Raw genomic sequence first — 13,590 nt, forward strand, 5'->3', positions numbered from 1 at the left:
GTTGCAGTGAGCTGAGATCGTGCCACTGCACTCCAGCCTGGTGACAGAGCAAGACTCCATCTCAAAAAAAAAAAAATGGACTTTGTTTCTCTAATCTAAATGAATCAACTTAATTTACATTTAAATTGTGCAGTAAGTGCTTAGTACCTGGCAGGCTACACACATACACATACACATACACATACACATACACATATACATATACATACACATACACATACACATACACATACACATACACATACACATATACAAGTATAAAACCCAACCTGTGAATTTAACAATCACTGGATGCCAGAACATGAATTAAACAAGTTTGTGTTGACTTTAATGGGGACCTGTCCTATAAATTAGCAAGGTTAGGACATTGCATAATGAGAAACTGTGAGCAAAAGTGAGAAAATAAACTTGTGGGAATGGGTTGGGATATTGAACATTGGCCCACTTGAAATTTGGGAAACGAGAAGATAACAATAGGTAAATAACAAAGGGCCAGGCTGAGTGTGGTAAACCCTCAAGTATTGGGGAGCCATCAAATGTTTTTGAGCAGAATTTATTCTGATATTGGTGTACAAAATGAATTAAAGAAGAATCATAATTAAAAGAGCTAAAAGGGTCCTTAGAGAGATTTAATCCAACCCCTTCATTAAGTGTATTTCTTAAACTAGTGATCCGTATGAGACCAGGATTCTATTTATTATATTCCACTTGATTAGAAGGAAACAGTGAATAATCTATATATATGCATCTGCCTCATTGTATAGCATAACTGTAGCCCTTAATTATATATAACACTTGTCAGTGTATAACCATATCAGTATCTTTTATATCTGGATGCATTTGTGTTACCTTAATTTCCAAATTCTTAGGGGCAGGGATTATGTCCATGCTATTTAATGAATCCACTAGAGGTCACTGTTTTTTCAGACATCTTTTTACCTGTGCCAAGGATCAGAATTCTAGAATTTTGTATTTTTAAAAGCTTGTCTAGCTATTGCACATTTAAGCTCTACAGAAATGTGATATTTTAAAGAATGTCTGTTTACATATGGCATGGGATACAATATCCTGAGTCAGTCTTCCTTTAGGGAGGAAAAAATTGCTTCTTTTAAATGGTGGCATGTAGTATTTAATGCAGAGATATTTTTATTAGCTTACAATGAGTCATGATAAAGAATAAATTGCATCATAATAGTAATTTTAATAATCATAATTTTAAAATAATAATAAATTTTTATGGCCAGGTGTGGTGACTCACGCCCGTAATCCCAGCATTTGGGAGGCCGAGACTGGTGGATCACCTGAGGTCAGGAGTTCAAGATCAGCCTGGCCAACATGACAAAACCCTATCTCTACTAAAAATATAAAAATTAGCCAGGAGTGCTGGAACATGCCTGTAGCCCCAGCTACTTGGGAGGCTGAGTAAGAAGAACCGCTTGAACCTGGGAGGCAGAGGTTGCAGTGAGCCGAGATCACACCATTGCGCTCCAGCCTGGGCAACAGAACGAGACTAAGAATAAATTGTTAAATCCACCCAAAAGATTAGATATCTTATTGAAATGACTTCCAAACTTTCGACCACTATAATAAGTGCATTTTACATTATCTCATATATGCATATAACTAAAACTAAAGCAAAACTTCTGTGAAACAATATTATTCTTACTACATGAAATGCCTCTGATATTTTCTACTCTGTTGCTTTTTTAAAATGCTGGCAGCAACCTACTTAATTGATTGGTCCTGATCTGCAGTTTGAAGAGCGCTGTTTTGTTGGATTTAGCTCACGTTTTTGGTTGTTTTACTGTAGGAAACCTGCTTCTCAACACTAAGTCTCAGTTTCCTCATTTGTAAAAGGAAAAAGTTGCATTCAACTTCCGAGTTCCCTTTGGTTCTAATGATTTACAGTTCTAAGCCAATTGTGTCATTAGTCATTGCTACTATAGAGAAAGTTTTCTACATAAGGAAATATTTATTAAAATGATGAAAATTAAAATTATCTGCTTAAGACTAGAGAAACTTATACTACCTTGTAGAAAGGTCTGTCTCAATAATTTTGAATAAAGTTACTGACTTTAATAATTTGATCTCTTTAGTCTGTAAAAGTGAAGGCTGATAAAATGTAGATCAAAGCTTTTAAATTATGAAGAAAAACCAGGCATGTTTTAGAGCATGTCCTGAACAATTTGAACTTGGCATCACTGAGGATGCCATGACCTTACACACCATTTGGAAACAGAATATTGAATTTGACCTAATTTGGTCTTTCTTACATTATTGTGAAAGCCAGTAAGTACAGGCATATCTTGGAGATATTGCAGGTTTGGTTCCAGACCACCACTATACTAAAGCAATAAAGCAATCATGGATTTTGTTTCCCAGTGTATGCAAAAGTTATGTTTCCACTATACTGTAGTCTTTTAAATGTGCAGTAGCGTTATATCTTTAAAAAATAATGTACATACCTTAATTTTAAAATATTTTATTGCTTAAAGATGCTACTGATCATCTGAGCCTTCAGCAAGTATTAATCTTTTTGCTGGTGAAGGGTCCTGTTTTGATGTGGATGGCTGCTAACTGATCAGGGTGGTGGTGTCTATAGGTTGGGATGGCTGTGGTAATTTGTTGAAATAAGACAACCCCAGGTTTGCTGCACTGATCGACTTCCTTTCACTAAAGATTTCTCTGTAGCATTAGATGCTGTTTGATAGCATTTTACCCACAGCAGAACATCTTTCAAAATTGGAGTCCGGCCAGGAGCAGTGACTTATGCCTGTAATCCCAGCATTGTTGCGGGGCAAGGCAGGAGGATCACTTAAACAAGACATTTGAGACCAGCCTGGGCAACATAGAGGGACCCATCTCTACAAAGTATTTAAAAAATAAAAAATTAGCTGGGTGTGGTGGCACACAACTGTAGTCCTTGTAGCTACTTGGGATGCTGAGACTAGAAGATCACTTGAGCATAGGAGTTCATGGTTGCAGTGAGTTAGATCACACCACTGCACTCCAGCCTTGGCAACAGAGCAAGACCGTGTCTCAAAAAAAAAAAAAAATTGAAGTCAGTCCTCTCAAACTTCATTGCTGCTTATCAGCTAAGTTTATGGAATATTCTAAATCTTGTGTTACCATTTCAACGATGTTGACAGCACCTTCATCAGGAGTAGATTCCATCTCAAGAAACCAGTTTCTTTGCCTATCCATAAGAAGCAGCTGTATATCCGTTCAAGTTGGATTATGAGATTGATGCAATTCAGTCACATCTTCAAGCTCCACTTCTAATTCTTATCTTGCTATTTCCACCATATCCATAGTGACTACCTCTACGGAAGTCTTGAACCCCTCAAAGTCATCCATTAGGGTTACAATCAACTTCTTCCAAGCACTTGTTAATGTTGATATTTTGGCCTCCTCCCATGAATCCCAAATGTTCTTTTTTTTTTTTTCCTTTTTTCTTTTTTTCAGACAGAGTCTCACTCTGTCACCCAGGCTGGAGTGCAGTGGCGCGATCTTGGCTCACTACAACCTCTGCCTCCTCAGTTCAGTGGCGAAATCTCAGCTCACTGCAACCTCTACCTCCCAGGCTCAAGCGATTCTCATGCCTCAGCCTCCCAAGTAGCTGGGACCACAGGCATGCGCCACCACACCCGGCTTATTTTTGTATTTTTAGTAGAGATGGGGGTTTTGCCATGTTGGCCAGGCTGGTCTCGAACTCCTGGCCCCAAGTAATCCACGCACCTTGGCTTCCCAAAGTGTTGGGATTACAGGCATGAGCCACTGTGCCCACTCCCAAATGTTCTTAATGACATCTAGAATGGTGAATCCTTTCGTGAAGGATTTCTATTTACTTTGCCCAAATCCATCAGAGGAATCACTCTATGGCAACTATACCTTTAGGAAATGTATGTCTTAAGACTTGAAAGTTGAAATTACTCCTTGACCCATGGGCTGCAGAATGGATATTGTGTTAGCAGGCATGAAAACAACACTAATCTTGTACATTTGCATCAGAGTTCTTGGGTGGCTAGGTACATTGTTAATAATCAGTAATATTTGGAAAGGAATCTTTTTTTTTTTTTTGAGCAGTAGGTTTCAACAGTTGGCTTAAAATATTCAGTAAGCCATGCTGTAAACAGATGTGCAGTCGTTTAGGCTTTGCTGTTCCATTTATGGAACACAAGCAGAGTAGATTTAGCATAATTCTTAGGGGCCCTAGGATTTTCAGAATAATAAATAAGCATTGGCTTCAACTTAAAGTTACCAGCTACGTTAGCCCCTAACAAGAGAGTCATCCTGTCCTTTGAAGCTTTGATGCCACATATTTACTTCTCCTCTATAGCTATGAAATCCCTAGATGGCATCTTCCTCCAATATAAGGCTGATTTGTCTACATTGAAAATTTGTTTAGTGTAGCTATCTTAATCAGTGCTCCTAGCTAGATCTGTTGGATAACTTGCTGTACCTTCTACATCAGCACTTGTGGCTTCACCTTGCACTTTTATGTTGTGGAGATGGCTTCTTTCCTTGAATCTCATGAACCAAACTTTGCTATCTTCTACCTATTCTTCTGCAGCTTCCTCACCTCTCTCAGTCTTCACAGAATTGAGGAGAGTTAGAACCTTGCTCTGGATTAGGCTTAAGGGAATGTTGTAGCTGGTTTAACCTATCCAGACCACTAAAACTTTCTCTATACCAGCAATAAGGCTGTTTTGCTTTTTTGTGTTCACTGGACTAGCATTTTAAATTTCCTTTAAGAACTTTTCTTTTGCATTCACAACTTGCGTACTGGCAAAATAGGCCTAGCTTTTGGCCAGTCTCAGCTTTTGACATGCCTTCCTCACTAAGCTTAATCATTTCTAGCTTTTGATTTAAAGTGAAAGAAAGTGTGACTCTTCCTTTTACTTGAACACTCAGAGGCCATTGTAAGGGTTTTTTTGTTGTTGTTGCTGTTGCTGTTGTTTTTTGGTTTTTGGGTTTTTTTTTTTTTGCATTTAGTAGTGCATTTTATTTATTCTAAGTTGCATACATTTTTACATTTTTAACATCTGTGCAATTGAAATGGATCTCACAACTGATAGACTCTTAGATTACAGCTGGACACAGAGGCTAACACCAGTAATCCAGCACTTTGGGAGGCCAAGGCCGGTGGATCACTTGAGGTCAGGAGTTCAAGACCAGCCTGGCCAACAGGGTGAAACCCCATCTCTACTAAAAATACAAAAATAGGTGGTGGCATGCACCTGTAATCCCAGCTACTTGGGAGGCTAAGGCAGGAGAATCACTTGAACCCAGGAGGCAGAGGTTGCAGTGAGCTGAGATGGTGCCACTGCACTACAGCCTGGGCAACAGAGTGAGACTCCATCTCAATAAATTAAAAAAAAAAAAGGCTGGGTGTGGTGGCTCACACCTGTAATCCCAGCACTTTGGGAGGCCAAGGCAGGTGGATCACCTGAGGTCAGGAGTTTGAGACCAGCCTGGCCAACATGGCAAAACCCCGTCTCTACTAAAAATACAAAAATTAACCGGGCATGGTGGCTCACGCCTGTAATCCCAGCTACTCGGGAGGCTGAGGTGCGAGAATCTCTTGAACCCGAGAGGCAGAGGTTGCAGTGAACCGAGATAGTGCCACTGCACTCCAGCCTGGGTGAAGAGCGAGACTCTGTCTCAAAATCATAAATAAATAAATAGAAATTAGCTTTTCAGAGAGACAGAGGTCTTGTCTTGTTGCAGTCTCAAAAAAAAAAAAAATTTAAAGGAAAAGCAGTATTCAATGTCAGTGAGTCTTCCATTGTAAAGTTACTAATTGGCCTAATTTCAATATTGTTGTGTCTCAAGGAATAGGGAGGCCTGAGAAGAGGAAGCGAGATGGGTGAACAGCTGGTTGGTGGATCAGTCAGAACACACACATTTATCAATTAAGTTTGACATTTTATGTGGGCTTGGTTCATGGTACCCCAAAGCAATTACAACAGTAACATCAAAAATTACCACATATTACTATAACAGATAATAATGAAGTTTGAAATATGATAATTACCAAACTGTGACACAGAGAACACATTTTGTTGGAAAAATGGTGCTGACAGACTGGCAGACACAGTTACCACAAACATTCAATTTGTAAAAAATGCAGTATTTGCAAAGCGCAGTAAAGGAAAGCACAGTTAAACAAGGTATGCTTGTGTAAATTTATTTACCAGATTTTATAATACCAAAACCAAACAATATCCCTTAGAATTTATAAGAGTAATATCTTTATATCACAGTAAGCTCACTACCTCATTGGTATAGATGTTTAAATAAATTTAAGATTTAGACAAATTCATAAATTCTACCTCCATACTTTTATAAGGTTTTGGAGTCAGAAAGGGCCTTGGAGGTTTTCTAGCTCCTCATCTTTAAGGTATGTAAAATATCTGGAGTAGATCCGTAATGTCATGGAGACTAACAGTGGTTCTCACAAAATGTCTCCTGATACCCTGTTAGAGACAAAACATTGACCTAGAATGGTCTGGGTCGTGACGCACTGTGATGCTTCTCATCTTGTGAGTTAGAAATTTTTCACCCACTTGGTGGCCAGAAACAGACCACATAGAGTTTTGATGCTCTGAGACAGTGTGCTCACATAGGTAATTATATAGTTGCAGTTATAAATCCTGTTTGGCTAAATGTAGGCTCTGACAAGCCTTTGAAGGTGGGAAGTCTCCTGCATTGTAATCTAAAATCTTAAATCTAAGAAGGACAAATGTGGAAAATCAAATTATGATTTTAAAGATGAAATTGGGGTGAATGGTTAATGCTGACAGAGCTAAAAGCGCCATCATCTGGTCCAGAGTAGGGGATTTCACACGTTGCTTCTTGGCAGTAAACAGTAGAATCTCAGAGGTGCGGAAGCCAAAAACCTCTGCAGAACAACTATAACCTCTTCCTGAACAGCCACCTCTGTTGCTTGGTATGCAGAATAAAAGCTTTCTGAAACAGGGTTTGACATGTCTCAAAATAGATTTGAAAAGTTCTCACCATACCTGCTGCTTCTGTTGGTTTACATATAACATACATATTCCAAGTGATATATATGCACATATATATAAATATGTACATATATCCACTAAGTTCTTTGGCATAAGTTATTTCTAGTTTTAGATTTACTTTGCTAAAATGAAAACCAATCATCTAATTTATACCTTAGTGAAAGTAAGATGAAAATGTTTATAAAGAAACAGCTTACAAGCATTCTTTAACTAGGATGGTTACATATTTTTGTTTTGTAAACTGAGCTTTCACAACTATCTTCAGGACAACAAAAATTGTGGGAAGATAATAGAAAATACTTAGCTGGAAGAGAAATGGCACTTTCTCTTCAAACGAAAGAAATTTGGATTTCATCTAAGAAAGGACAGAAAAGAAAGAGCAATGTAACTTGGTGCTTCATTCTTTCTAAAACAGCACCTAGCAAAAACAAACTGGAATTTTATATCGAATCTTGAATCTAGTTTATTTCAGTGTCAGGTACCATTCTTTATAGATTGGGGATGAGGGAAGGTATTTAAGGTTCCTTTAAGATAGTTAAGATCTAGAAACAATGTTGAGTTTAGTTCTTAGAAAAATTACACAAAGGAGAAGAAAATAGTTTGTAAAGTATATTGAGTTCCTGTGAAAGGGATTAAGCAAAGGTGGTATCCTTGCAACTTTTTTGGGTCTTTTTCTAACACTAAATAGAGGCAACAGGATATAGAAAGGGCTTGGCCTAATTCGAATCCTAGATTTACTACTTGTTAGCTATGTGATCTTAGGAAGTCATTTAACCTCTCAAAACTTCGGTTTCCTCATCTATAAAAATAGAGTTGAAGGCTCGGTGCGGTGGCTCACAACTGTAATCCCAGCATTTTGGGAGGCCGAGGCGGGTGAATCATGAGGTCAGGAATTCGAGACCAGCCTGGCCAACATGGTGAAACCCCATCTCTACTAAAAATACAAAAAATGAGCTGGGCGTAGTGGCGGGTGCCTGTAATCCCAGCTACTCAGGAGGCTGAGGCAGGACAATCGCTTCAACCTGGGAGGCGGAGGTTGCAGTGAGCCGAGATTGTGCCACTGCACTCCAGCCTAGGCAACAGTGAGACTCTGTCTCAAAAAAAATAAAAATAAAAATAGAGTTGTAAATTGTGTGAGGATTAAATGAAATAATGTGTAAAACCATCTAGCAGACAATTTGGGAAGATGAAAAAGTGCTGGAGATGCATGGTGGCGATAGTTGCACAACAGTGTAAATATACTTCATGCTACTGAACTATATACCTAAAAATGTATTAAACGGTAAATTTTACCACAATTTAAAAAATCCACCTAGCATATGGTAGGTGATGCCTACCTTATGCTTTTTCCCTTGCCTTCTTTAAAGATACAATTTTCTTTTAATTCTCAAAAAATAACAAGTTGTATAGCAGGAGATGTTGCATAAAGCTGTCTTAAATTGCATTCATAATTTACAGTAATGTTTATATATTTTGATTACCATTTGATTGAGCTACACTTGGACCTCATTCTTGTTTGGAACTATTCTGCCTTCAAGATCTTGAAATAAGAGCTTCCCGTCTCTGACCACAACCTCTATCTCAATCTGCAGCTATCACTCCTGAGTCTGCTTTGTGACCTCATTTTGACCTCCTATCTCTAGCCTAGCTCTATTCTTCTGAGTTGGCAGACCCTCTTACTTTTGTTTTCTTGAGCTCTACAGTCAGCGATTACAGTGTCCTCTTAAACAATTGTAGATTCTTTCTCCCTTAACCTTCTGGCATGTCCACCTTCCCAACCTCCAGTCATACTTTTTTTCTATTTAGCTTGCTGAACATTTTGGGGAAAGTTCTCAAATAAGACCATTAGCGCTTTAGATAAGCTATCTCATTTAATTCAGTCCTCTTAGCATCCCTGGGGAAATATTATGTTACTCACTTTATGGATGGTGGAACTGAGGCTCAGAGTGGTATGGTGACTCACCCAAGGACACTTAGTTACATATAGATTTGGGATTTAAACCCAGGTCTGTCTGATATCCAAGCCTACATTCATTGTATCCCTTTGGCCCTGTTCTCTCTACTATGTTTTTCCCACCTTTTTTTTCTTTCTTACTGACTATAGAATAGACCTTTTCTACTCTCAAACTTTGAATCGACCACCAACCATAGTAGATAGTTTAACCCACTTTACTGAACCAATTGGAGGCATCCAGCAGAAACTCCTTCAACATTATTTTCTTCATATGGGCTCTCATTTCTCTGCCTCATTGCTGATAAAGTACCCTCCTTTATCTTACTGATTCCACTTTCTCTCCTGGGCCTTGCTTTATGATTTATTTGTATTCTGCCTCCTTTGAGATATCCTTTCATATTGATTATTTTCCCTCTACCTTAAAAAAACCTGAAAAATATCTATGAGCAGTCTTATAGTAATTGGTGATCTCAGTGAGAGCCATTTCAGGAGAGAAATGAGTACAGATTCCAGAAGGCAGAAAGCTGATAACTGAGTAGGAAATATGGAAGTTGAAAATGATGAGGGCAGACTTCTTTAATAAAGGCTTACGATGAAATGAGTAGGGGCTGTATGATCAAAGGATTGTTTGTTTGTTTTTTTTAAGAGATTGGGTAGATTTAAACACGATTACATGCTTTAAAAAAGAGAAAAAAGGGAGAGGTTTGTAGAGTAAATACCCCAGAGTGGAGATTCAAGGGATTAGCCTCAAATGCCTTTATATACAGACTGTATCCATCTTTATAAGCCCAGCTGAAATGACACCTCTCTGAAACTCCTTTTGATTGGCTCAGAAGCAAGTTTTTCTCTGATTTCCTGTAGCAGCTTATACATCTCTCATGGCATTTAACACATATTGTCTTGAATAACAGTGTAGTTATTATGAGCTTTACTGTCTGGGTTTGATTCCTGGCTTCACCACCTACTAGCTGTGTGATTTTGGGCAAATTGCTTATTCTCTCTGTACTCAGTTTCCTTATCTATAACATGGGGATAATATTAGTAGCTACATCGTTGTTATGAGGATCAATATCTGTAAAGCTCTTAGAACATGCATTTTTCTTCTACTAAATTTTAAGGTCTGGCAGGCGCGGTGGCTCACACCTGGTAATCCCAGCACTGTGGAAGGCTGAGGTGGGGGCAGTGGGGAGCGAGGGGTTGTTACTACTCCAATGTAACTGCTTTCTCAGAAATTAAGGCAAAAAGTCTTACTGACCATGTAAAGGAAATCCAACAATTATAAACAGTCTCTGCCTTTAAGGAGCTTATAGTCTAGTTAAGAAACCAGACTTAAACATATGAAAAGTTAAACATTGGCCAGGCACAGTGGCTCATGCCTATAATCCCAGCACTTTGGGAGGCCAAGGCAGGAGGATCACCTGAAGTCAGGAGTTCAAGACCAGCCTGACCAACATGGAGAAACCCCATCTCTACTAAAAATACAAAACTAGTTGGGCATGGTGGCACATGCCTGTAATCCCAACTACTTGAGAGGCTGAGGCAGGAGAATCACTTGAACCCGGGAGGCAGAGGTTATGGTGAGCTGTGATCACACCATTGCACTCCAGCCTGGGCAACAAGAGCAAAACTCCATCTCAAAAAAAAAAAAAAGAAAAAGAAAAAGTTAAACATTTAGGTAATGGTTCTAGTAGTAGGCCATAAAGGAGTTCATGATTAATTATGTTAATTGTACAGACAATGATGACTCTGGAATTTAGGGAAGGGATTTACTTTAGTCCAAGTTAGTCAAGGAAAACTTTATTGGGCTGGTGGAATTTGAACTTAACCCTGAAAAGTGAGTATAGTTTGGGTAAGAGAGAGACTAATCCAGATTTCTTGTTGATGAATTTCAGAGTACTTTGTCCTTTAATTTTTTTCTTTTTTTTTCTTAAGATGGAGTCTCGCTCTGTCGCCAGGCTGGAGTGCAGTGGCGCAATCTCGGCTCACTGCAACCTCTGTCTCCCTGGTTCAAGCGATTCTCCTGCCTCAGCCTCCTGAGTAGCTGGGACTACAGGCGCGCACCGCCATGTCCAGCTAATTTTTGTATTTTTAGTAGAGATGGGGTTTCACCATGTTGGCCAGGATGGTCTCAATCTCCTGACCTCGAGATCCGCCTGCCCAGCCTCCGAAAGTGCTGGGGTTACAGGCATGAGCCACCGCACCCGGCCTAATTTTTATTTCTGTGTTCTTATTACAGGCATCCTGATTTTCAACTGCTAAAGGAAGAACAAAGGTATGGTTGAATCAGTATCATTTACCATTTATATATTTATGTTAATAGAAACATTAGGAGTGAACCAGGTGATATGAGCTCTTGGACTTCCTGTGCTGATGCATTATGTAAGTGTCCCATTCTAGCCCACACAAAGAAATATTTGACCTGTTCAGCTTTTTCTTTTGTGATGGTAAGATGATGTGTTTGATCTGTATGATTTATTGTACAGCTGTTCCTCCCGAGGAAATCTAATTTAACCTGTTGAAATATGACATAAACACAGCCTCCATCTCAGATACCATGCTTCTTTGTCAACTAGATTGTGCCTATTACATTTGTTGAAAGGTTTTTACAGTCCTATAGGATTTCAAAACCAGTAATGTACCAGTTACTTAATTATTTGAAAGAGCATCTAAAGCATTAATATAAATTCCAAGTTGTGATTTTCTTTCTAAACTTTCCTCATGGTATTGTTTGCCTGACCATGGCCATCTCTCAAAACACATCCCTTAACTCTCAGAATAAATGTTCCTAGTTAATAGTCACTACCTTAGTCACATGGCGTTGAGCACAAATAAGAGATATTTATTTATTGATGTATATCTTTATAGCTTCAGAGTAGTATAAAAACATAATTGCCTTAAAACTCCAAGAGAAAGTATGAAATACATGAAAGTTAAATTGTTCTAATTTTTTTGAGCTTACACCTATTTTTACTTTTCTTCTGATGCAAGAGACAGCCCCATGGCTATATAGGCTAGATTCTAACTAAAAGATGGTATCTAAGACTAAACTAACTTTTCATCTTTTTTCTTCATTCCCATCCATGACCTTGCTTTCAACTTTTATATATATATATATTTTTTTCTTTACATTTCCCCACAGCTTGCTTCTTGACCCAGAGTCTTTTTCATCCTGATCTTTTAAAGTTTTGATAGTGTCTGTGCTTTAGAGCATCCTTGTTTGTTTCAAGTTTGTATTGGCAAAGCTACTGTTGCCTTCCCTTTTTCGTAATTCTTCATCTTATTCAAATCTAATCTGAAAATTGAAGAACATTGTCAGGGAAAACTTTTGTCTTTTATTGTTAGCATATTGTTGTAACTCTGGATTTTCAAATTTAAATATCTTTTATTGAAAAATGTTGATTTGCTAACTTGTTCTGCTATGACTTTCCTGTGATTTTCATTCTGTAGAATTTTCTGTACAACAATCAACCAGAATTAGAAAATGTTTACCCATTTATTTTTATCATTTTATCTTTTCAAATCTAAACACAATTCCTGTAATTTTTTTTTTTATTTAAGAAACCGATAATGAAATTTTCTTTCTTTTTTTTTTTTTTTTTTCAAGACAGAGTCTCACTCTATCACCCAGGCTAGAATGCAGTGGCGCGATCTCGGCTCACTGCAACCTCTGCCACCTGGGTTCAAGCAGTTCTCCTGCCTCAGCCTCCTGAGTAACTGGGACTACAGGCATGCGCCACCACTCCTGGCTAATTTTTGTATTTTTAGTAGAGACAGGGTTTCACTATGTTGGCCAGGCTGGTCTTGAACTCCTGACCTCAGGTGACCCACCTGCCTTGGCCTCCCAAGGTGCTGGGATTACAGATGTGAGTCACCACACTCAGCCAAAGTTTTCAAAAGAAAAACTTTTTTTAAAAAGGTCAGCCAGTAATCCCAGCAGTTTGGGAGGCCAAGACAGGTGGATCACTTGAGGTCGGGAGTTTGAGACCAGCCTGGCCAACATGATGAAACCCCATCTCTACTAAAATACAAAAATTAGCTGGGCATGGTGGTGTGCACCTGTAATCCCAGCTACTTGGGAGGCTGAGGCAGGAGAATCACTTGAACCTGGGAAGCAGAGGTTGCAGTGAACCGAGATCTTGCCACTGCGCTCCAGCCTGGGTGACAGAGCAAGACTCCATCTCAAATGAATAAAAATAAAATAAAATACAAAAAATAAAAAATAAAAAGCTCAGCCGGGCACGGTGGCTCACCCCTGTAATTCCAGCACTTTGGGAGGCCAAGGTGGGCAAATCACTTGAGGCCAAGAATTTGTGACCAGCCTGGCCAACATGGCAAAACTCCATCTCTACTAAAAAAATACAAAAATTAGCCAGGCGTGGTGGTGCCCACGTGTAATCCCAGCTACTTGGGAGGCCGAGGTGGGAGAATCGCTTGAACCTAGGGGGCAGAGGTTGCAGTGAGCTGAGTTCACACCATTGCACTCCAGCCTGGGCAACACAGACTTTGTCTTAAAAATATATATTTATTTTTATATTATTTTTCATATTATATATTTTTTAAACTACATATATACTTTATATATTATATATAATATACATTATATAT

The 13,590-nt window shown here is 38.7% G+C and overlaps 2 protein-coding genes across 6 annotated transcripts in view, besides 1 other annotated feature; one reads left to right on the forward strand and one right to left on the reverse strand.

The window, feature by feature from the left end:
- GLMN (glomulin, FKBP associated protein) overlaps nt 1-13,590 on the reverse strand; it is a 124,443-nt gene that overhangs the window by 62,976 nt on the left and 47,877 nt on the right. The window lies entirely within an intron of this gene.
- The window catches only part of RPAP2 (RNA polymerase II associated protein 2), a 102,998-nt gene that overhangs the window by 10,319 nt on the left and 79,089 nt on the right, over nt 1-13,590 (forward strand). For all 5 annotated transcript variants that reach the window (NM_024813.3, XM_047430820.1, XM_017002363.3 and 2 more), the window contains exon 7: nt 11,222-11,257. In NM_024813.3, the coding sequence (NP_079089.2) occupies nt 11,222-11,257 (36 nt within the window). The remainder of the gene's footprint in view (nt 1-11,221; nt 11,258-13,590) is intronic.
- Nucleotides 8,515-8,809: a silencer, noted in NCBI's record as "tiled region #6980; HepG2 Repressive non-DNase unmatched - State 16:ElonW". NCBI's record gives its function as "represses a minimal TATA promoter and a strong SV40 promoter by Sharpr-MPRA in HepG2 cells {active_cell/tissue: HepG2}" and the evidence as "EXISTENCE:reporter gene assay evidence [ECO:0000049][PMID:27701403]".

Source organism: Homo sapiens, chromosome 1 (genome assembly GCF_000001405.40).
Source record: "Homo sapiens chromosome 1, GRCh38.p14 Primary Assembly".
NCBI classification, from domain to species: domain Eukaryota; kingdom Metazoa; phylum Chordata; class Mammalia; order Primates; family Hominidae; genus Homo; species Homo sapiens.